General features: G+C 42.5%; 2 long non-coding RNA genes across 2 annotated transcripts in view, besides 1 other annotated feature; one reads left to right on the top strand and one right to left on the bottom strand.

The window, feature by feature from the left end:
* Nucleotides 1-25,460, bottom strand: part of LOC105370651 (uncharacterized) — a 91,436-nt gene that overhangs the window by 26,778 nt on the left and 39,198 nt on the right. The gene's annotated exons all lie outside the window — the stretch shown is intronic.
* On the top strand, nucleotides 7,962-21,529 carry LINC02312 (long intergenic non-protein coding RNA 2312). Its single transcript, NR_146447.1, has 2 exons — nucleotides 7,962-8,295; nucleotides 18,818-21,529. It is a non-coding gene; the product is annotated as a long intergenic non-protein coding RNA 2312 (long non-coding RNA).
* Nucleotides 22,972-23,602: an enhancer, noted in NCBI's record as "OCT4-NANOG hESC enhancer chr14:98213528-98214158 (GRCh37/hg19 assembly coordinates)". NCBI's record gives its function as "activates a minimal SCP1, AML or CMV promoter by ChIP-STARR-seq in primed H9 embryonic stem cells {active_cell/tissue: H9 hESC(primed)}" and the evidence as "EXISTENCE:reporter gene assay evidence [ECO:0000049][PMID:30033119]".

Raw genomic sequence — 25,460 nt, 5'->3', positions numbered from 1 at the left:
TTGGACTAACTGAGCGGAAGGTGGCAGCTGAAAGGCCTGGGAGAAGAGGCATCTTGCAGAAGTGCAGCTGAGCGAGGGCTCCAGATCTGGGACTAGACACCCACAGACTCCTGGCTTGCTGTGTGACTCCAGGCTTTTTGCTTCCCCTCTCTGAATCTCATAGATAAGAGAGATGTACTCTGAGGATCAATGGGCCATCAGTGAATGTCCACTGCTATACTCTTACAGAGAAACAAGGGGAGATGCCTCTGTGGGCAGAAACAGCACTGAGAATAACTCCTGCACAGTTATTGCCTTTGTGGTTCAAAGCTCTCTCGCATAAGCACTGTCCTTCTGAGTCCACCAAAGACCACGCGAAGGCAGGAATTGTAACCTCCATTGTGGCAGGTAGGGACACTGAGGCTCAGAGACGTGTGCTCGCCTGAGTTACAGCTTGTAAGGGGCACATGAGCACCAAGTCTTGTCTTTGGATGCCAGTCACATGTTCTGCTAGAGTAGAGGGGGCATAGATGACAGGGCAGACAGAGCTGACAGGGAGTCTGAGGTTGGACAAGTTTCTAGAACTTTCTGTGTCCTTTCTAACTAGAAAAACTGCTTTGTATTTATTGATACAATTAGGGAAAATTTATTTAAAGTGTCGAGGCTGGGTCTGGTCTGAGGAGGGCACTTGACTAGCCCCTGCGGATGGTATGATGACTGCCCTGCCCCCTTGGCCTCCAGCCCATCTTCATCTCAACCACCTAGGCTGGCTATGGCCAAGGGAGGCCCCTGGCTGCTCTGACGATCAGAGCAGTTGTCTGGTGTGATGGTGAAGTTCAGGTGTCAACTTGACTGGATTGTGGGAGGCCCAGACAACTGGCAGAGCAGTTTCTGGGCGTGTCTATATGGGTGTTGCCAGGAGACGCCTCCTTTTGAGTCAGTGGACTGAGTAAAGATTTGCGCTCAACGGGGGTGGGCACCAACTAATTCTCTGAGGGCCCAGATAGAACAAAACAGAGGAAAGGTGAATTATCTCTTTCTTTCTCCTGGACCTGAGACGCCCTTCTTCTCCTGCTCTTGAACATCAGAACCCAGGTTCTCTGGACTTTGGCTCCCAGGAGTTGCCGAGTGGCCCATCAGTTTTTCTGACCTTTGGCCTCCCACTGAGGGCTACACCATCAGCTTCTTTGGCTCTGAGGCTTCCGGACTCAGACTGAGCCACATTCCCAGCCTCCTTGGCCTCCAGCTTGCAGATAGCCTGTTGCAGGACTTCTCAGCCTCCATTATAATAAATCTGTCCCCCGCTTCTCCCCCGCCCCATAAATCCTATTGTTCTGTCTGCCTGGAGAACTCTCATGAATACACCTGATCCTCCCAGCCTGAGCAGAGGGCTGACAGTGATGGACAGCATGTCCCGGGACCCCCACCTCCACACAGCTCACCCAAAGCAAGCCCTCGGATAGATGTCGTCCTCGAAGTTCCCTGATGTGCGAGTTTCATGGCTCTTGTAGCAAAATACCACAAAATACATAAGCCATGAGGATGTAAGGGCATAAGAATGACACAATAGACTTTGGGAACTTGGGGGAACGGGTGGAAAGGGGGTGAGGGATAAAAGACTACTAATGAGATTCAGTGTACACTGCTCGGTTGGTGGGTAGGCCAAAATCTGACAAATCACCACTAAGGAACCTACTCATGTAACCAAATACCACCTGTTCCCCAAAAAACCTGTAGAAATAAAACAAAATTAATGTTGGCTTAAAATAACACAAATGCATTCTCTTGTAGATCTGGAGGTCAGAAGTCTGAAATCAAAGAGTCAGCCGACTCGTGTTCCTTCTGGGGGCTGTAAGAAAGACTCAGTTTCTTCCTTTCTTCCTTCCTTTCACTTATTTTCTTTCTTTTTCTTTTTTTTTTCTCTTTGCCTTTCCCTGCTTCTGGTTGGACGATGATATTCCTTGGTTCCTGGCCCCTTCCTCAGCTTCAAAGATCATCACTTCAACCTCAGCGTCTGTTCCCACACCTCCTTCCTCCTTTCACCCCTTTCCTCCCTCTTACAAGGATGCTTATGACTACAGTTAGGGCCGAGCCAAATAATCCAGAAGCATCCCCCCATCTCAAAACCCTGCACCTAATCACACCTTCAAGGCCCCTTTGCCATGTAAATGAACATGTATAGAGACTGGGGATTACTAGGGGGATATTTTGGGGGTCATTCCTCAGCCTACCTCACCCAGCATCCTCCAGTGGCCCACATGGCCATCCTTCAGCCAGTCCCTGTCAGGGCACGCATGGCCTCTGCTAACTCCATCTCCAGCTACGGTGATGCCTGCTGGAATCAGCAGGACCTGCCCCAGGCCCTGGCCCAGGGCACTTGTCAACAGCCAACATGACCTTTCCCTCAAGGTCGTCATCACAGAGTGCTGAAGGCAGCACTGGCTTTGGCGGTGAGCCACCCAGGGTATGTTGCTGGCCACCGTCTAAGGGAGGCAGCAGCCTGTGCCCCACAGTTTGGGCTGCCCAAGCAAGGCACAGGCGTGTGAGGGAGAAGAAGCCTCTGCAGCAGCAGGCCGTTGAGAAAATCAGCAGCAATGAAGGTGCTCTACTTATTCAGGAATTACATAAAAAAGAAGAAAAAGAAACAAAACACTGGAGGAAGGCAGAGGAACTTGACAGAAAAAAAAACAGACTTTTATCCCATTAATATGTTAACCGGGTGACAATGACTTCTCTTCTGTCCACCACTCTTGCCTCCCTGATGCCTAGATAGGGTCAACAGATGTAGCAAATGTACATGGTGGACACCCTGATCTGTTTAGATATCAGATGAATAAGAACTTCTTTAGTATAAGTACATCCCATGAAATACTTGGGACATACTTATACTAAAAATAATTTATTGAGTATCTAAAATTCAAATTTAACTGGGTGTCTGTATTTCATCTGGCAACCTTAAGCTAGCAGAAAGCTTGGCACAATAATCACTGCTGAAGGAAGAAAGAAAAGCAGCATTGTCACAAACCTGCATCAGAATCTGGGCTAAGTGCTTAGCTTACTGATAAGGAAAGGGGGCAGAGAAGTGCTGGGTAGAGGAAGGCGGGTCCCTGGGTAGGGTTCCTTCCTCAGGCCTGTGCCCATGGACCTAGGTGAGGACAGGCACTCCTGCCTTCGTGCCCAAATGTTGCATTTTCCAAGACCACCCTGGGCTGCCACACCCCCAACCTGTCTATGAAAACCCCAAGACCCAGCCGGGCGCAGTGGCTCATGCCTGTAATCCCAACACTTTGGGAGGCTGAGGCGGGTGGATCATCTGAGGGCAGGAGTTTGAGATCACCCTGGCCAACATGGTGAAACCCCGTCTCTACTAAATATACAAAAATTAGCTGGGCATGATGGCACATGCCTGTAATCCTAGCTACTTGGAGGCTGAGGCAGGAGAATCACTTGAACTCGGGAGGCAGTGGTTGCAGTGAGCTGTGATTGCGTCATTGTACTCCAGCCTAGGCGACAAGAGCAAAACTCCATCTGGGAAAAAAAAAAAAAAAACCCTGAGACCCTAGCAGACAGGGACACAAGCTGGCTGGAGGCCATGAGGAACACATCAGCGGAAGAACACACAAGCAGATGGACATCAAGAGGAAGTCGAGAGGAGCACACCGGCAGCCCCGGCAGGCCAGCAGGCCATCAACTGGTGGAAAAACGTGGAGTTTGGCTGGGGTGGTCAGAGAGCCCAGGCCACTGAGCGGCTCAACTCCAGGGGAAAAGCATCTCCCTTCTGGCTCCCCCATCTGCTGAGAGCTACTTCCACTCAATAAAACCTTCACTCATTCTCCAAGCCCACGTGTGATCTGATTCTTGCAGTGCACCAAGGCAAGAACCCGGGATACAGAAAGTCCTCTGTCTTTGTGACAAGGTAGAGGGTGTAGTTGAGTTGGACAACACAAGCCATCCGTAGACAGCAAAACTAAAAGAGTGCATGGTAGCACACACTCACTGAGGCTTCAGAAGCTGTAAACATCCAGCCCTAGACGCTACCATGGTCAGAGCCCCACCACCTGCCCATCTGTATGCTCCCCTAGAGGTTTGAGCAGCCGGGCACTGAAGAAGCAAGCCATTTCTGCATTGCACACCCTGCGAGGGAAACAAGGGAACCTTTTTTGTTTCAATATGTTCTTCAATTTAATTCTGAAAATGACATTCTGAGGCTACCATAACTGTGCCTAATTTACAGATCCAGCCACTTAATGTTAGAGAGACATTGTTCAAGGACACCCAGTCATTGTCTGATTCATTTCTGTGGGACTTCCACAAGTTCGAGAAGGGAAATAACTATTCCTGAAGAGAATTCCCACTGACTCTGACAACACGTTGGCTTTGGCATTGGTGGAACACATCTGAGGTTCCCCAACCTGTGAGGCTCTCTATGCTTGTGGTGCCCCTTCCTGCTCCCCCAATATAAGAGAGGAGCCTTCTAAGCCTGCACTGCTTGATCTCAGCCCTTCCCAGGGGGCCTTCAAAACATGAAACCTGGGAGAGCAGGTGAGACCCCAGATCCGAGATCAGCCTCTGGCATTAAAAATTTGTTCCAGGCAGAAACTAGTGCTGCCCCAGACACCCTCCACTACTTCGTCCAAGCTGCCGGTAGCCACAGTTACATGGGGTTGGAGGACTGGCCTGTATCTGACCCTCAGCAGAGCTTCCTCTTTCTCTGGATTGACAGAAGAAGCCAGGAAATTGTGAGACCCCTGCACACACTCACCAGGAGGGTTTGGGAGGCGGATGGAGCTGGATTCATCAGGGCACCATGATTTACTACTGGAATGATGTTCAGCAAGTTACTTTATTTGCTTCAGAGACTCAGGCTTGCCTCTGGTAAATGGGGAAGGTATCTTTTGAGTTTATATAAGAAATTACTGAAAAGATAACTGTAAATTACCTGGCACAAAATAGGTCTTTAGCACGTGTTAGCAAACCAACACCGTGTTTAAGCTTGAAAGATGAAATGTTCATTTATCTATCTTAAAAAGGAAAAAGGAGGAGAGAAGGGGAGAAGAGTGGAGGAGGGAGGAGAGGGAAGTGGAAGGAGAAAAGAAAGAAAATGAGCTTCTGAAGAGTCTGAGGTTGTAATGGGCATAGACAGAGGAAGGAAAGCAGAAATGCCAGGCTATTTTAGTTTCGAGGATACCTAAATTTGTAGCATCTGCATTCTTCTCCAACTCCTGATGCCTTTCCCTGGTCTCTTTCTGATTATTTCCAGAGAGGAGCAGAGCAGACCCCAAGTCTAGCTCTGGGGGTGGCCAACCCAGTCTTCCCAGGACTCCTCTCTGCTTCTCTGTGCCCCATTGGGAAGGAAATCCCAGCTTTCAACTTCCCAAGGTCAGAGTAATTGAAATTCTCTGTCTGTATCCCAATTTTCCAGCTGAGGACTCTTACAGTTGTCAAGACATAAAGAACCAAAATGGGCACTTTTCAAGATGACCATGAGTGTATAATTAGTCGATTAAAATTGTCAAGATGTTACTATTGGTTAGTTAAATGATGTATCAAAATCATTCTGTTGTTTAAGGGTAGGCTCTGTGTGTGTGTGCACTCAAACACACTAAAAAGTGGATTCAGCAGGGATGGGTGACTGACATAGCAACTTGGTCACAAAGAAACATCTTTACTAGAGACCCAACTGGCAGAACAGCGACGCTGGGCATAGCCTGGAATGATAGAAGGTGGACAAAGCTGCCCACTGGACCCTGAGGGCCCCTGGCCCTCTCCTAATCCATCTGAGGGCCCTGCCTCCTGCAGGAAACCCATTCTGCATGGGTCTGAGCTGTGCACCAGCCTCTTCCTTCTATCCTAAATTCAGACAAGTCCCTCCATTTATCTACTGGGGAAACTGGGTGTTTGATTTAGCCTGGGTTTGCCCATCCAGGAGTTACAAATCATACTGACTACCACATGGATTTGTTCTGAAAATTAATAGGCTCCAGCGGAAAAGAAACTATCACTTTAGTGAGGGCATGAACCACGGGACATATAGGTCATGCCTCTTTCTTGCTTCCTTCTCAGCCCTTTTTTGTGAAATGATGTTGAGAGAGTAGAAGAAGCTACATCTTGGATCTTGGGACATTTACTGCAAAGCACACAGAATTCAGCAACCTTACTATTGTTACCACACATCATAGGAGAGGGGAATAGAAATGACAAAGAAGGCTTGGTGGCCAACTGGACCTGAGTTTTAGTTTTATCTCAGCCTTAATAGATGTAAGACATGGGGTAGGTTGCTCTCTGAGCCTCAGTTTTCTCTTTTGTAAAATTGAACTAATAATACAAACATGAAAGACTATTGTGAGACTTAGGTGCCAAAAGGGATTCACTCTTGGAGCCTGCAGAGGGAACCAACCCAATGACAACTTGATTTAGCCCCCAGAGTCTCATTTAGGAATTCTGACTTCTAGGTCGGAATTATTAAGAGAATACATTTGTGATGTTTTAAGCCACTAAGGTTGTGGTTAAGTTGTTAACAGCAGACATAGGAAACTAATACCCTTTAGAAAACTACAGAAGGCCTCCTTCTCACTGTGGATTTCCATCATGCTTACTTGGTGACTGGTGATTTTGTTGAGAGCACCCAAGCGCCCATAAACATCTTCTTAGGACCATGGTTCCCACTCAATGCCATTTGGGCAGCAGGGAGGTTGACCTTGATACATTGAATCACCTGGGTCAGAGTTAACTGCAATGATCTCTTGTCAGCTGTCATGTGAATAAAAGTGGGTTACAGCCCTGTCAGCATTGGGGTGGTTACACAATGGCTCAGAGATGCACAGAGAGGACTGGAGACCCTCACACAGCCTACAGCTTCTCTGCTCAGGGAGGGGGCTCAAGGTAAGTGACTGGGCATGAAATTGCAGGGTTTTCATCCTAATCTGGTACCATAAAGTTATTCCTGCAAATTAACAACTGCTGATGGGTCTATGATGGGCATCCATTGAGATGTTGAACCTCCTTAGAGCCCACTAGCATTTCTGTTTTTCTAAGGAAGAAAGCAAGTGTTAGAGAACTTTCCTAACACACAGAGAACAAGTCTCAGTGACTTACCTAAAGGCATATAGGTGAGATTTGTACCAAAGCCCTCTGATAATAATCCACCCCTTTCTGTGCAGGTGACATAATATTGTCTCTAGATGCAGACTCCCAGGGTTAGAATTCCTGTTCACCTTCTGTACAAGGCATTTTTGTTATTCAAGCCTCAATTGTGTCTCCTCTAAAACAGAGGATGGCCAGAGTGAGCCCCAAATCGACTAGTCCATGTCACAGTCAAGCATGGCATGGAGCTTGTATTAAGTGCCAGATAAACATTAGCTTTTATGAGAAAGTTACTTATTTAGGGATTAATATATATATTCCATCTCACTCCAAATACTGGTTTTAGGGAATTTTTGGAAATTGTTACCCATGATAAATTGTTTTGAAGACCCTGCAAGAACTCATGTTAGTTCGTCTCTCTCAGTAGAATCCACACTACCTTTCAATCAAATCAAGCCTTATGCTTGATTTATCTAGCATCTAGAAATCTAGATTTCTAGATCTTCTAGAAATCGTCTTTTCCCTGTCCTGTTCTATCGCACCTGGCTCATGCCTCTGTTTAACACTCCCATCAACCCTTCTACACTCCATTGGGATTTAGGTCCATCCTTTCCATTTGGTTTCAAACACCTTTAGATGACCAAGTGGATCTTGTTCAGATTTCTGTGTTTATTTGGGAGTTGTATCATTCAACAAATGTATCATTCAGGGTTCAGAAAAGAAAACGAAAACCACACTGCGTATTTCAAATAGACAGGATTTAACATGAGAATTTGACAAACTAAAAGAGCAAACAGGAAATCAATATTACCCAGAGATAATAACCAAATCATTCACACAACAAGCAGTCACTACTGGGAGATCAGAGAACAAGAGAGAAGTGAGGATACCAGAGCTGAGACTCAAAAGAGGGCAGAGCCCTGCAAAGAAGGTCTTATCAGCTGCTGTTTGTGGGTCTAAGAAGCTGTGAGAAGTCTGGTTCTGGGAATGGAGAAAGAAGGTAGAGATAGAGTCAATTGCTGCTGCTGCTGGAGCAACACTGAAAAGGAATAAGAAACACCAAGAATAAAGTTCTTTTTACTCCTCCTAACTTCCTGTCTCCTTCCTGTGACTTCCATTGGCACAACGCAACAGGAAGCCAAGGATACCGCAGCCTGGGAAATGGATTTCATAAAGGGCAACTCCAGCAACAGATAACAGAGCAGAGAAGTGTTTCCTTGGGGCTGGGAACCCGTAAGTATGAAACCACCATAATACGATTTTACTGAACTTTTACTCTGGGCTGAGTTCTCTGCTCAACATCATGTTCATTGCCACAGGTCCTTTACCCAATATTTTCATCGATTTTATTTTTTAAAGAAGGGAGTGTATCTTCCTTTTCATATTGAAAACCTGGTAGTATGTAGGGGTAGCACAGTATACTAAATGGTCAGTTTGGGCCTCCATTATCCTCGGTTCTGATTACATCTCTGCTACGTATTAGTTGGCCAACCAAATCTAGTAATGAGACATCTCTGAGCTGCTGTCTCCTCTTGTACAAATAAAGCATGATATTCCCTCCATCACAAGTTCTCTGTGAGGAATAAATGAGCTAACCTATTGGATTTGATAAATGGCAGTGTTTTACATAGTTTTAGCTCAAGAGACTAGACAACCAGGCCCCAAAAATGATTTTAAATGACATTCAAGTTCCATTTGGAGTGAATGATCTGGCTAGAAACATCTAGCAGGTGGCAAAAAAAAATAAGACTTAAGCATCTGCTGGTACCGTGTGTGGGCTTGTGGACTATCAAGGAGCCCAGGGCATCAAAGTAAAACATAACACTCTCCACTCTGAGAACAATTGCCAATAGTGTGTTTCTCCCCTGAAAGGAGAACACCAAGAGAAATATACAAAAGCATGTTTTCCAGGTTGGCTGAGTTAGACTTGCTTTACTGGCCACACAGAGCTAAGGACTCTGAGGCAGAAACATTTACTCTGATAATCCAGAAACCACAAGATTGCAATGAAACCTACTGCCTTCTGAGAGGACCCCAGTCTACAAACTGCCATATTTCAGATTTCCCATGTTGCCCCCAGACAGGCATTCTGCTTTTGGTTCCCAAGGTTGCTGAAGATAAAATGTCATACAACAGCAATAGATAATTCCTGTTGAATAAAAGAGAACGCAAAGAGACAACCAGGTTTTTGTTGCTGTTGTTGTTGTTATTGTTTGTTGTTTTGTTTTGTTTTGTTTTGATGGAGTCTCGCTCTGTCACCCAGGCTGGAGTGCAGTGGCGCAGTCTCAGCTCACTGCAACCTCCGCCTCCCAGGTTCAAGTGATTCTCCTGCCTCAGCCTACCAAGTGGCTGGGACTATAGGCACGTGAAACCATGCCTGGCTAATTTTTTGTGTTTTTAGTAAAGACGGGGTTTCACCATGTTAGCCAGGATCGTCTCGATCTTCTGACCTCATGATCCGCCCTCCTTGGCCTCCCAAAGTGCTGGGATTACAGGGGTGAGCCACCGCGCCTGGCTGACAACCAGATATTTTTATGGTCTACACAGTCACCTGAAATCTGTCGTAACCATGTCATTTTGTGCCCCTGCATAAAATTTTATGCTACCTGCAGCAGATAAATGAAAATAAGGAAGTTAAAATAAAACAAACAGGCATATGGAACAGTGCCAACCAGAGTATACCAGCACCCTTACATATATTATTTTAATTAGTTCTTACAACAACGCTGTGAGGTCAATACTACCATCCCCATTTCCCAGAAGAGAAAACAGAAGTCTAGAGATGTGAAATTTTCTCCCTAAGATTCCATCTCCCTTTCAGTACCCGGATCCAGCTGAGAACTACAAGACAGATAACATTTTGTTCTAGTCTTGTCCTATACAGAAAGCAACATGTGACCCCATAGAAGTCCCTAACTTATTGGACCCTCAGTTATCTCTTTTGGGAAGTGATGACCTCTAAGGGCATTGCCATGTCAACAAGCCATCAAATCTGTGCTGATCATTGAAAATACAGGGGACCAAAAAAAATGCAGAAATGTAAATGGCATGAACACTGCTAGTGTAACCAACATGCAAAGCTTGCAAGCAGAAACATGTTTTATTTTGTCTCTTTTCCCAAGTTATAGAAACCCTTGCATATGGTTGTCTTTACTTTAATGTGCATGAATAAAATATATTCTTGTGAACTGATGTAGTCCACAGGCTTTTGAGATCAAACAGTTTTCTACTCCAGGTGAAATGTGGGAATGACAGATAATGTTGTCAATATGCTATATTTTTGTTAGGTTGAACAAACATGGCCATAGCCATTATTTTCATCATATATATGCATGTGCATTTGTGTGTGTGTATGGGAGGTGTCTTTAAAGAATAAGATTTAAGGAAAAAAATCAATAAATGCAAAATTTTCCATAAAACCTTCAGTGAGAAATATCCCTCCCTCCTCCTCATGTATATTAAAGTGAGCAGAATTTGCTGACTTGCATAATGCAATACACAGTGATTACTGGGAGGTATCAGAGGTGATTAAATAACCACAGAATTTGAGAGACCTGGAAATAAATATCCTCATTCAAAAGCCCAGGCAGAGTCAGTAACACGCCATGGAGGGGGTCTTTGGGTATTGGAAACTCCATCTCATTCCTTCCTAGTAGCAGAGATTTGTGGGTTGTTAACAATGGGTTACACATTGTATGTGAATAACATACGAAATACAAAATGTATTTATGTATAATGAGGTAGCATTAGTGGAGTCAGTGCGAACACTGGAGTCAGACAGATGTTGCATTTGAATTTGGTCTCGGCTTTAGGTAAATAACCCAACTCTTATAAGCTTAAATATTCTTATCTATGTAATGGGAGTAAGCATTGTCAGCAGACTGAATACTCTTTAAATTATGGCTATTATTAATAAGTTAGTGTGACAATAACAATGTGTCCTTTATTGAGTAACCATAATAGAAAATCTTCTAAATTCATCAATTACTTTAATTCTCAGAACAACTCGGTGTTAGCAATTTTTCCATTTTGCAGAGACTGAAACCAAAATTCAGAAAGGCAAGATTCTGGATGTTATCAAGTTTAAGGTGAAATCCTTTGTAAGATGCATCCTTACCTTACGTACCACAAAGAGAAAAAAGTATGCTGACAATTCTAATTGTAGGATGTCATCAATTGTAAGATGCATTTCATTTCAGAGGTTAAAATATTTCTTACAATATCACCTTAGGGTCAATAAACTGTGGTAAATTGCCTAACATCACACATCTGCTAACTGGTAGAACTTGGGTGCAAACATAGGATTTTACAACAAAAAGCTGGGGGATTGTTCCCAAGCTAGGACAGCACCTAGCATAGAATGGAAGTCCTGTAAATATATACTAAGCATCAGAATATGTGTCCTATACATATACATTTTGTATTGCATATTATAGCATATGATGTCCCAAACCACACACCACATATATGCGTGTGTATGTATAATTTGCTTTCCAGGTCAATTTCTATTTTGGGACTTCTCTAAAATAATCCTGAAGCAAGAAATAGTTATTTACATATTTTTGACAAAATAAATTCTAGGAATAATTTTGTTAATGAAAGGTAGAGATAAAAGCAAATTAAGTTGTGGTAGTTGCTGTTCCTGGAAAGATTATTTTCAGCACCGAGGCTGTGAAATGTACCAGTCCTCGCATCCTGGAGGTGACCAAGCCTGATCAATGTCACCCATGCCAAGGGACTCCATTGCCTAGATTGTTATGGGCTAATATTTCCGTTCTTTAAAACGCGTACAGGAATAACTTCAAGCAAAATAAAAATATCAGTTTGTAATGGCCAAATTCTCTGAGGTTTATAAAATGTTGGGACTGATTTGCTGAGTTATAGTAAAACTAAAGTAGACCTTGAAAGGCACTCAAGTTGACATAAAACTTGAACAGTTTAACTAGTAAGAGAAAGACTAACAAATTAGGTTGACCAGATAATTTATATTTGGAACAAATAGCATTTTTAAAAGAACTGTTTTTGCGAGAACCCACTGTGTGTGCTGGTAATGAGGAAAGTGCCGGCCCTGCCTTCAAATATTCTCAAAGCCCCTGTGCCAGGCAGGAGCCCCAAAGATGCTGTGCTAATTCCCTGGTTGTTAAATCTGTGCCCACGTTACTCGTCGTCACTGATACTCACTTTACCTACATTGTAGAGAGCTTTAGGGATTACCAAACACTCCCACACTGAGTCATCTTGGAGCATCCTAGAAACTTCTAGGTGGATGGCATTTGATCTTCCTATTATAGATGGAAAAAAGGCACCTGAGAGAGGTCAGCGGCTCCTCCAAAGACCCAGAAACACTGGGGAAGCAGTTAATTATTTTTCAGCCAAATTTCAGAAAATCAAGATAAAGAAAATGCCCATTTTGGTGCTTTCAAAATTACCAAAGTTATCAATAACTATACTAATTATATCCCGGAAGCACACAGAGATGAGAATGACGGCTGTACAGTTTGCAAACTGCATTCACATGCATGGGTTTATTTTACCTTTCACACCGCACTCAGAGGTCAGTAGACAGGGATGCCTCTCCCCCTTCTCATTTTAGCATAATGGGAACTGAGGCCCAGCGGTGTAATCAACATATTAGGAGGCGCAAGGCCAGGAGACCAACTCTCCTTTGCAGGCCAGGTGTCTTTCCCCACCTCCTCACACACACTCCCACTCTCAGATGCGAGAGCATGTTACCATAGCCTCGGTAATCCTCAAATCCGGCTTTGTTTGATAGGGATGAGAATAAGGATTCGGGAGATTTGACCAGCTATCTTTCACTTTAGTACCACTTGAGCTAAGAGGGAGACTTTGGGGATGACAGAAAATATGATCTCAAGTGGAATTTAACCAGAGCACATGAACTGAGAGCTCCTTAGGAGAGGAGGGGACTGTAAGGAATGTTTGTGGGAAGCCGCTCTGCACCAGGACCCTTTATAAATGCCTCATGCCGCATCACCGGGAAGCAGCTGTGGTTACAGCTTAAATGCCTGACCCAAAGTTATCAGCCATGCAGGGCTGAGCTACTGCTTTCAAGTTGAAGTGCTGGCCGTTTACCGCTCTTTATTTCATGTCAGGCTGTTCCCAAGGAGCCACCTCTCTCTAGCTGCACTTCTGGGATCCAGGGGGAGGCAGAAGGCTCTGGCTTTCTCCCCCACACTCTAATGGAGCCTCCAAGGAAGGATCTGACGGGATCTGTTCCCCAGGCCACCTGGATTTAGGCCCCAGTGTCGCTAAAGACACCCTTGAAATGTTTCAGCTTCCCTGGCCTCTCACTAAATCTTAGGTAGGAGTTTAAGGGAAAGAGAGACTTCTGGATGTGCTTGGCAGAGACAATTGGCAAAACCAGCCTAAGCCAGTGAAGGGACTTCAGCCTCTGCCTCCCCATCACTAGAAAGCTTTATTTTAAAAATAACATGTTAAGTCTGTAAAGTCTGTAAAAATGGCATTTCTCTCTCTCTCTTTTTTCTATTCTAAAAGTGATGCTCAACAAATAAAACAGGGAGCATAAATAAAAGGAAGAGGGAAAGAAATTGGTTCCACCGCCCAGTCATACTCAGAACACACCAGGAACAGCAACAGTAGTAAACATCCCGTTTCTACCCCAATCCAGGAGACCAGGAGCCCCGGGAAAGACCGCTTGGACTGCCCAGCTCCTGGTGCCCTGAAATTCTATCCTCATGAGCCCAAGTAGACATATTCTCTGGAAGAAAAGACGAGGCAGGCCCGATCTGCCAGTGGTCAGCTGCATTCTTCCCCTGTCCTTTCTCTCCCTCTTTTCTTTGCCTTTCTCTCTCTCTCATTCTCTATTTCTGAAAACTCCCTATTAAGTGGAGACCTGATTTCAGGGGCACAGCAAATATCAGGGAGCCCTTTCCAGAGGTCCCGTTCATTAAGCCTGGGCAGAATTTCGACACAGCTCCTGGGTCCCACTCGTTCCTCCGTGATAACAGAATGCCAATTCAGATGCTGCCTGAAATCGGCAGTACATGGTTATACCACCCAATCTGAAACCAGACCACAAACGCTCAGTTGAAATCATTTTGATTCCATTATGGAAGTGGTCATTGTCTCAAGGTCTCTTTCCTAATGCGTAAAAAAGAAAAAAACTCTTTCATTTTGTGACATGGCCCCATTTGGCTTTTGTCCCTCAAATATAGAGAGAAATGTTTGCCTTGCTGTCATCACAGAGAAATAAAATTAAGATAGGCCTGTAAATGTGGTCAGTTCTCTTCTTATTTCCTAGTCTAAAAGTTGTGCTTAACAAAATGTGGCACAGAAATAAGAAATAGAAAATAACTAGGTCTCACAACTCAATAACCCCACATTTTACTCTGTGGTTGCATTTGTCCATATTTTTTCTGAACATCAAGTCATTTGTTTATAATTCATGAATAAGTTTGTTTGTTTAAGCTGCAAGGTTTCGTCATGAATTCATTTTTTATTCCTGATGTTAAAGGCAATGCATGCTTGATGCAGAAATTGGTGAAAACAAAAGAAAACATAACGAAGAAAACTCCCAAATCACTGCCATTTTTACCACATAGTTAACCCTTGCAAAGTAATGTTCTGATACTCATTCTTCCCTTTATAAAATTCTCGAGTATAAATTAATTTGCATCAATGAACTAACTCATTGAAAGCATGAGTTTTGGAGGAAGACGAGAATGTGAATCTCACCTCTGTAGCTGTGTGTCCAGGAGTGACAGACTTCCCTCTCTGAGCCTCTGTGTTTTCATGCATCAAACGGGGATATGATCACCTACTTCCTAGATTTGGTTGAGAACTAAATGAAATTAATTCATGAAAGACTATATTCAATGAGAGCTATTATTGTTGTTGTTATTATTTTTATTTCTATAATGTTATATATAATGCCACTGGGATTATATAGTTATGTACAATTTTCCATGTATGATTACGTGGAGAGAATTTCCATGTGACTAAAACATCTTTGTAATAAAAAAGTCTTTGAAAAAATAATGTTAAATTCTGCATACTCTTCCAAGAACTGGCTACACTAACAATATATTCAGCTGCTTCTATGTTCAGCTAAGTGGTTGCTGATCTTTTCCACCCTTAAATAAAAATGTGATAGGCCTGTGTATGCCCTTTCCCCTCCTCTCAGATATTTACATGGTCTCTAGACTACATCGATTCGTAGAGCAGAGGTGGGATCTTTATGTCAGACAGTATGGAGAATTTCAAGTTAGGAATATGTATTGCCGTTTCACCTTCATGAACGTATTCCACCCCTACAACAGTGAGCGAGGGATTTGTTTCTCTGTAGAGCCCCCATCCATAGCTGTCCCTCTCAACCTGGAGATTGTATTCACTTTGAATCCAGAAGCTGGTCTCTCTGGGGCATCTGGAGTGACTGATTTTACCCAGTTACAGCCAATCTCTTTGTTTAGCTTAACTGGTCACATTAATCAAAATAGCAGCTCTGGTTCCATAGGCAGTCCTCCTCTGAAAGGCTCTTCCTCTCTTACATCCATAACAATCAGTGGGTCCACAATGGTAAGTTAATGCAAAAGTCAACATTGCCTAAAAACACAGTCTGCCAAGAACAGCACATCTCTGAAGGGCTCGACCATAAGCCTGCAAATGCACTATTTGCAATTGTTCTGTTTGTTAATTTTTCTTTGAATTCTCAGCCTCTCGACAATGGAAAAGCATGGTAAAACTAACACTATGTGTTCACCAGACCATTCCATTTTCTGCCCTGGGCATGCAGGAAGGCCATGCTTCTCAACCTTCTTTCTGATTACATCGGGGCTGTGTATCGAGAGTCTCACCATTCGGAATGTGAACAGAAGTGACCTTGCCTCTTATGGTCTGAGGAAGTTAGGAGCAAGTATCCATTCTTCACCTCTCTATCTCTTTCTCTCCCACATACAGAACCAAAGAATTGAGATTGGTGATTTGTCTCTTGCAGCATCTAGAGTGACTTGCCCCACCATAAACGAAATGAGAAAAAGGAGACACAAAGTCATGAAAGGAGCACAGACTCCATAGGCATCTTATAGTGAAAATATTTGTGCTTTTCAGTTTATTATTTTTTATTTTTAATTTTTGTGGGCACATTGTAAGTTTGTATATTTATGAATATTTGTATTTAAAACAGGAGTTTCTGGCTGACCCTAAAATGCAGCCAAAGACAGTTTCTCAAAAAAACTAAAAATAGAATTACCGTATAATTCAGCAATTCTATTTCTGGGTATATACCCAAAAGAATTAAAATCAGGGTCTGGAAGAGGTGTCTGTATAACCATGTCCATAGCAGCGTTATTCACAACAACTAAAGCATGGAAACCACCCAAGGGTTCATTGATACATGAACGGATAAGCAAAATGTGATACATACATATAATACAATTCTACTTAGCCTTTAAAAGGAAAGAAATTTTGACAAGTGCTGCAACGTGGGTAAAACTTGAGGACGTTATGCTAAGTTAAATAAGCCAGAAAAGGCAAATACTGTATGATACCACTTACATGTGGTACTTAGAGAGGTCAAATTCATACAGCTACAAAGTAGGATGGTGGTTACTGGGGTCTGGGGAGAGAGGGAAATGAGGAGTTTCTGTTCACGGGGACACACTTTCAGTTTTATAAGATTAAAAGACTTCTGTGGATGGATGGTGGTGATGGTCGCACAACAGCATGAATGTATTTAATACCCCCGATCTGCATGCTTATGAATGATTAAGATGGCAGGGCATGCTGGCTCACGCCTGTAATCCCAACACTTTGGGAGGCCAAGTTGGTTGGATCACCTGAGGTCAGGTGTTCAAGACCAGCCTGGCCAACATGGCAAAACCTGTCTCTACTAAAAATACAAAAATTAGTCAGGCATGGTGGCACATGCCTGTAGTCCCAGCTTCTTGAGAGGCTGAGGTGCTGAGGCAGGAGAATTGCTTATAAACCGGGAAGTGGAGGTTGCAGTGAGCCGAGATAGCACCATTGCACTCCAGCCTGGGGGATAGTGTGAGACTCTGTCTCAAAAAAAAAAAAAAAAAAAAAAAAAGATTAAGATGATAAATGTTATGTGCACTTTAACACAATTTAAAAAATGGGAAAGAGAACAGCCAAAGAGAGACACACATGGGCTCATTCTCCCACACCCTCCCAACCCACCCCTCCTGCCACAGGCATGGACATGAGTACTTACTTACTTAGGGTAAGGAATGAGGGTCTCCTCGTCTCATCTCACCCACACAATGTCCTCTGTGAAGAAAGACCTCGGTTCTATTGAGGGACTATTCTGAGAAGGCACATGGATTCCATCTGCCATTTTTCTTGTGGGTCCATTGAGAGTCATCAAGGAAGAATGACAGTCCTCAGCTATGGGCTTTCTGCTGTTGAGATTGAAGCCTTCCACTGACTCCTAATTTAAAGCTCAAAAAAGTGAAAGGGGGGAACACCACAACATCACCCACTTTATTTACCTAGACTTGGCCAGAGGTCTAGGTAAGGATAGACTGAAATGCAATGAGTATACTGAGGAACTTCCCACCGCTCCTCTCCTTCACAAGAGCAGGGTGCAAGTTCTTCTGTGGCTTCAATGCAGGAGCTAAAGAGAAGGATCCTGCTCACATGGCACACAGTGAGATGTGGCCATGGGCTGGCCCCGCTGCTCTTCTCCACTGGCCCAAGGTGTTTCTGGAAATGCAGCAGGAGTGGGAGCCTCACAGAACAGTGACCACATTCATAGCACGTGGTCTCAGCAGCTGTGCATGGTCTGTGATTTGAACTGTCCCTCAGTGGACCAGAGCAGCTCCGGGCATGTTTTCTGCCCGAGAGATGATTAGGCATTAGTGAAGTGGAATATAAAAGCCAGTGGTTCTCAGACCTGAGCATGTGTATAATAATCTCGAGGGCTTATTTAAACACGGGTAACTGGACCCCACTTCAGAGTTTCTGATTCACTAGGTCTGGAAGGGGCCCAATAATTTTCATCTCTAAAAGTTCCCAGGTGCTGCTGGTCCTGCTGGCTCTGGGACATTACTTTCAGAACCATTGATATGGGGGACCTGACCATAAGAAGCAGTATGTCTATAAATGGCTGTGGGATTTGACCAGGTAACTTCTTCCTGTCTAGTTTAACATTTCTTTAGTATTACATATAATTACAAAGTTGCATGGATCAGATCAGTTCTGGTTTTTTTTTTTTTTTCCATCTGTATCTGCCAGAGTCATGCACAAGTGCAGGAGGTGGCTTTGGGATCAACGAGCAAACGAGTGAGGCTCTGGCTTCAACCCTGCTCTAGTGGAAGCATCACCTTCTGTATTTCATACATTGAAATAATGTAAGAATTGATGTGAAGGAAAATTCCATCCACATATAAACAAATGAACAAACCAAAACACTTTGGAAATTGTTAGTGCAAATAATAACTAAGAGAATTTTAGCTTCAAAGATGCATGATCCATTGTTCAATAGGATGAATATCTTTCTTACCACCTTCAAAAAAGTCTAAGTGCCGAGGAGCTGCAATCTGTGAGGTGGTCCTTGTGATGTGGTTCTGAGGGTCATGGAGCAGACAGGTGAGGGATTGGGTGCCTCTGGACACAGCCAGCCTTATGGGCACATGACCTGGGCTGTCCCACAGGGTCCTGTGCTCCGACGGGCCTGCATTTGGGCACTTGGTTTAATGCTCTCTTGTCATTGTCTTCAGAGTCACAGCAATTTGATCTTTGAACTTGTGTTTTGCAGGTGAAATCTGATGGCACACTGGAGCGTGTCCGTGAGCGGAGGAGGGAAGTGCAATGGGTGTGTTCACCTTTCCTTGCTGCCCATTAATGCAGCATGCTCATGATGCCCCAGATGCCCCATGAATGTGGAATTGTGAGGGACCCGCCAGCATGGGAGTTCAGAGAGGCTCAAAGTGAGTCCAAGGTAAGTCATATTTTCTATCCAAACCAGGATTTGCATCAAATGAAGAAAGAAGGCACCAGGATTCTAACAGACACCAGGGCAAGGGACCCCCTCACATCCTTCCTTACTCGTGTTGCTTCCCTGCATTGGCCAACTATGCCCATTGAAATTGGTGTTTAGGAGGAAAGGGGAGGGCAGGGCCCAGATTTCCCGTTCCTCTCAGTCCCCCTCATTCCCTGTGAGAGGAAGGTAAAGAGTGCGGATGAAACGTGCACGTATCAAGAAGTGAAAGGAAAACAGGTGAGCTTGTTTCGTGCAGCATTTCCAGTGTCCTGGTAAGAACTAAATTCATGGACACATAGGAACTGCAACATATGAACTGTGAAATTTGGGTAATTTTATGTAAGAGTTAATTGCTACTATAGCCAAATTTAAAATTGTCATGGCACAACATAAACAGTAAAATCCACGCTAATAATTTAAAGCTTATTTTTTAGTTAGAAAAACATGAAAAATACAAATAAAAAACACTACAAAATGAGAGAATCTGCTGAAAAAAATGAAAACGGCTTATGCTTTAGTCCCTTTAATAATACTTTTTTCCTGCTTTTCAAGTAAGGGGTTCACAGTTTTATTTTGCACCAGGAACTAAATTATACAGTTGGTTCTGCCATTGGGTTTACAAAGGTAGCTACACACCTTCAAGAGCTGCAAAGATAAGAAATGTTTGCTATTCATCCCTCAAACATCCCTTCGAGAAGTCAATTCTCCATCATGACCTCAGCCCTCAGCCTTCTCCAGTTCCTGAGATCAGCCTTGGAGAATGTAGAATTGGGACCGGCCTGTCACTGGGATTAGCAAGTCATCATTCCTACCAATAAGTAGGGACCAGAATTGTGGTAGCGTGAATTCCAAGGAGGATCATCATATACAGTTGTGCAGGTTATGCACTGCACCACGCCAAGCACAACATGAACATTCTTATCCCTGGAATTATGCACTCACACAGCTGTACATACTGGCCCTGGAAGTTGGCTTTCCTGAATGGACCCCTAGGACTGGCCTGCTCACCAAATCCCTTCCCTCCTTCATGCCACCTTATCTGAAGTTAGGAGACTGGGCCTCAGTTTCCCTGCACAACACGCTGGTTCTATGCTAGGACTATATTCCATCCTTTTCCCTTAGGTTGATCAGACAGGTCCAAAAGAGCAGAGTTTCTACTATGAATGAACTACTTAGAACCAGCGTCTAAGGTCAGCAGAGACTAGAATGCACTCTTCATCCAGTAGCCTCCATAACCTGGGTCTGTCACCACCACCCCCATCAGTACATAACCTGGGAAGTGGATCTCATCTCCATGAGACCTTGAAACCTCTGCCTTCTGAGCAGTCCCTGTCCCCGGGCTTCTCCACTGCAGCTTACTCATCGTCACCCACAGGAGCTGTTAGCTCCAGAATCTTTACTAAAGGCCCGCATCCTGAACACAGCCTACTACACGAGGCTGCGGCTGAGCACTCAGGACAATCGCTCAGGACAAATAACCCTCCCATTGCCCTTAAACATCCCTGGTTCCCTTTGTTCCAATCCCATCCTTGTGGGATTCTGACCTCTTGGCTCTCTCATCCAACGGGTTACCCTCCCCTTGACTCCTTTGATTTTACTTTTTGTGGGCTCTCTTCTAACTATGTGAACTCAGATCCCTCTGTGAGAGTGAGTTGCACATCTGATTCACCTGTGGGGTTGTTAAAGGTCCATGTGCCTGGCTCTCACCCTAGACTATTCTAACTCAGAGTGCCCCCCAGGGAAACAATGTAAGGTAGCAATTAAGGACATTGACTCTGGCATCACAAGTTTGAGTCTATCCTGTCTCTGCCACTCGTAATCTATGTGATCTTTGGGGATGCTTTCCCTTTCTCTGAATCAGTTTCTTTGTCTCTAAAATGGGAATGAGAGTGTTAGTACATACCCCCCAGGATGGGCAGAAAAATTGAATAAGCTAATGCATGCAGAGGATTCAAATACGGCCTGGCACATGGCATGTGTTCAATAACAAGTTAACTGCATTGCTATTATTGTTATCCAAAAAGTGACAGATTTTACTTTGCCCTCCGTGTTTGGTTCTCGGTGCCTGGTTTTGCTTACTTAAGAGTCCCTTTACCTTGGTCTCGGCCAAGCAAGACCAGCCCCGCCCCTGACTCATGGGTTTGAACATCTAGATCAGATCTAGCCACTCATCACCACCCTGGGCACCCATGGCTTTAGTTTTCTACTGCCTCCTCTCCTACCAGTGCCAGGCAAACCTTTGCTTGTGATTCAAAACCCAACTGGAATGCTTGGTCTTTTCCTAAGTCTTCCTCAATGTTCCTCTGTATTCATGTGCTCCTAGAATTCTTTATTCAGCACATTTTATCCTAATTACTGGTTACTTGTCTGGCTCTTGCTTAGGCACAAAACCTGCAATTTAACTTTCCTCTAACATGGGACCTTAACATGATGCATATAATAGGTGTTCAATAAATGATGTTTCTTCCAATAAATATCTATTTCATCCCTTGGAGTCTGATTTCAACCTTACAGGGAAAATTCTGATTTGGCTTTGTTCACCAGGGACATGATTCTAACCCCTTTTTACCACAATCCCCATTTGTTCTCCTGCCCCTGGTTTTCATGTGAAATGAAAAGTGAGTGTAAAATGTGGCATGGAATGAAAGCCAAGCCAGAACTTGAGCCCCATGGATGAACTTCAAACAGGGACTTTAAACATGCAAAATAAGAAGCAGCTTCTCCAGGACAGAGTAGAAGCAGCTAGGCACTTGGTGACTCTCTCAGATGTTCTGGAAATACATTTTGATTTCATATATTTTGAATTAAATTGATTGAAATTCAAAGCTAAAGCCAGCATACCACATTTCCTTTGGTCAGAAGTGAAGTGTGAAAATAATGTTTTGAATTCTCGGTTGGATGCACAGCCCCGGGTTTGAAGTGTGACAGACTGTGGCGGTTTTGGGTTACTGGAAATTTCAACATTCCATTGGCCCAGTCTTCCAAAGGAATTGGAGAAATTGAAAACAAGGAATTGTAGGGTACAGAAGTATCAGTAGAGCATCGATGAGGATTCCCCTAAGCTCTGCAAATTGTGGTAGAGTCAGAGTCATTCCCATTGTGGTTGCCACGGAATGTTGGTAAAGTTGCCCATGAAACAGACAGCACAGTCTTTGTAACTCTTGTGCTATAAGACTTCCAGTCAGCAGAGACTAGAATGCACTCTTTTCTCACCACTGATAGAAATAAAATTAGGAATCCATGCAGGTTTATACTAACAACGTACTTAGAGTTGGATGTGATTGATAAAATGGATACCCCCTAGAGCAAGAAAATGTATCTGCTTTTTAAGGGTCCACTTTTGAAATGTATTATATCACAAAATTTCTGAATTTTTATGTTTGTAAGTATATAGCCATTAATTCTTATATTCAATATCTGCTTTGTTCTTAACAATACACTTGGAGCCTTATTTCATACAAAGGTAAGAAGCCACCTCCCTCCTCCTACTAAGAAATCACAAACACAAGATCGAGCATAACAAATAAAAGGTAAAAGTGCATAGCTTAGTTCGAAGGAAGAGAATGTTCTAGGTTTTAGAAATGAAGTGGGAACATATAGCCAATTATAAGGTGGAGCTGAAGTTTTGGTGACTTACAAGGGCTGAACCTGCCTATAGGCCTTAGAGGCTGGACGTTAAATGCCCACATTGGGGCAAGATGTAAAGCCATAGCCTTATAAGAGATGTCAAAACATTCTTAAAATAAGGGTGTTTGAAAATATTAGAGTCACGGAAAAACTAAAGCTATGAGAAAACAATGGAGTCTTGCAATAAAACAATAATATTAGAAGGTAACCATATAGGACTTACAGAAATAAAAATTTTAGTTTCTGAAGCTAGAAATCAAAACAGCTATGTTTTGGCTTTCAGTAATGGTAGAATAGCCTGATTGAGCTCTCACAATAACAATGATAAAATCTGTAAGAGAAAGAATAAGTAACCCATTTGAAGCCACTGGAGAGCAACCAATAGCAAGCAAAAACTAGAAAGACGTCTCTTCTTGAAAGATAGAAACCGAATTGGGTGAGATTAGTATGCTTGTGGCTTTTTGCCTGGGAAAATTCTCCAGTCTGTGAAGCACAGTCCAGGAGAAATCCATTGTCTTGCTGGCTTCATGTGTAAGAGTAAAGGCTTTAGGACTGCCAGCATGGCTTATAAATAATAAGGGGGAAAATCCTGAAAAGCAGGGAGACTGCTCAATCCTTGGCCAACTCCTGAACTGTTTATGCACATTTGAGAGTGATTCCAGGAGGTCTGGCTAAAGCAGCAGTTGAAATACAAAAGAATTGAAGGGGACATTTGAGATGCTAATCACTACGGGAAAAAAGGATTGAGAGTTTTATTCCAGCCAAATTAACTACCTGCTAGAAATGAAACTACTGCTTCTTATAAGAACATAATTAAATCTAGTGTCTCTACAATGCATCACTAAAATATCTAGGATACAATCAAAGATTACTAGATACACCAAGAGATAGGATAATGTAATTGTACTCAAGAAAAAATAAAGCAGTAAATATAAGCTGCCTCAGAAATGACCCAGATTATCGAATTGACGAATAAGCACTTTAAACATTGATACAAAATTTGGGTCTATTAGGTGACATTTTACTTTTTAAATTTCTATTCTGAAAAGTTGTATCAGTTTGGAAAAACTGATATCATATGGCTTTTATTATCTTAGAAACCCTCTATAAAACAAAGCATTCTGAAATATTTTCATCCAATAAAACCCACTCTATCTTGCAATTAGCACAAGAGTTCATTGAAATCATTTATAAATTTAAAATATATGACAGAATATTAGAGGTTCTATTTTTTATATATCTAAAGTATTTGGCTCTTCCATGGTCCTGATGGTTATTTTGTCATTATTTATCAATTATTTCCAACTATACCAATAAAGCCTAAAAAATAAGAAAATGGAAAAAAATGAGGGACTAGTATGGAAGAATAGTGAAAATAATTATCGCCATTCCAGACCCCTTTAGTATCAATAATTGCATTAAATAGAAATATGCTAAATACTCTGCATAAAAGAGATATCTAGACTGGACCTAAAAGCATAACTAAACTATGTGATGGCTACAAGAGATGAACTTTGAATACAAAGATAATTAGGTTGAAAGTAAAAGAACAAAAAAAGAAACACCATGTAAACTCTAGCCATAAGAAAGAAGAAATGGTTATGCTAATAACAAACAAAATACACTTCAAAACAATGAACGTTATCTGAGAAAAGATGAGCATTTTATATTAACAGTCAATTTATTAGGAAAACCCAAAATGCATAGGGACTTTATGAGAGAAATGCAAAATTTAAGAACTTACAAAATAACTAGATAAAAATAACAGTAAGATATAGGAGATTTTAACAAACAAATCAACCACATTGAGCTTATTGAATTTATAAAATATAAAACTCCCAAACTGCAGAAATCATGTATTTTAAGTTCAAGGGAACCATTCACCAAAATAGATCATATACTAGGGCATTATTTCCTGAGTATAGTGAAGCTCAATTGGAGATTAATTATTATAAGATATCCAGAAAAGTCCCTAATATTTGGAAATTAAGTAACACATTTCTAAATACCTGACCAAGTAAAAAAGAAATTATAAGGAAAATTTAAAAATATTTGGAACTGAGTGATAATGAAATCATAATTTAACAAAATCTGTAGACTGCAACTTGAGCAGTGCACAGAAAGGAATGTCTAGCTATACATGCTTATATCACAGAAGAAGAAAGGTCTAAAAATTATCTGAATTTTTATTATAAGAAGTTTAAAAAAGAAGAGCAAACTAAAGTCAAAATAAGCAAAAAATGAAATAAAGAGCAGTAATTGATAAAGTATAAGACAAACATCAAATAAGGTGAACAAATACAAAAATACTTTCTTTAAAATTATTAGTGAAATCACCTTTTTATGGCTGCATAGTATTCCATGGTGTATATATGCCACATTATCTTTATCCAGTCTATCATTGATGGACATTTGGGTTGGTTCCAAGTCTTTGCTGTTGTGAATAGTGCCGCAATAAACATATAAGTGCCTGTGTCTTTATAGTAGACACAGGCACTTATATGTTTTATAATCCTTTGGGTATATGCCCAGAAATGGGATTGCTGGGTCAAATGGTATTTCTGGTTCTAGATCCTTGAGGAATCTCCACACAGTCTTCCACAGTGGTTGAACTAATTTACACTCCTACCAACTGTGTAAAAATGTTCCTATTTCTCCACATCCTCTCCAGCATCTGTTGTTTACTAACTTTTTAATGGTCGCAATTCTAATTGGCGTGAAATGGTATCTCATTGTGGTTTTGATTTGCATGTCTCTAATGACCAGTGATGATGAGCTTTTTTTCATGTTT

Source organism: Homo sapiens, chromosome 14, assembly GCF_000001405.40.
Source record: "Homo sapiens chromosome 14, GRCh38.p14 Primary Assembly".
NCBI lineage: Eukaryota > Metazoa > Chordata > Mammalia > Primates > Hominidae > Homo > Homo sapiens.
Note: the sequence above shows the minus strand (reverse complement) of the source record. Positions and strands in the feature narration are given on the sequence as shown.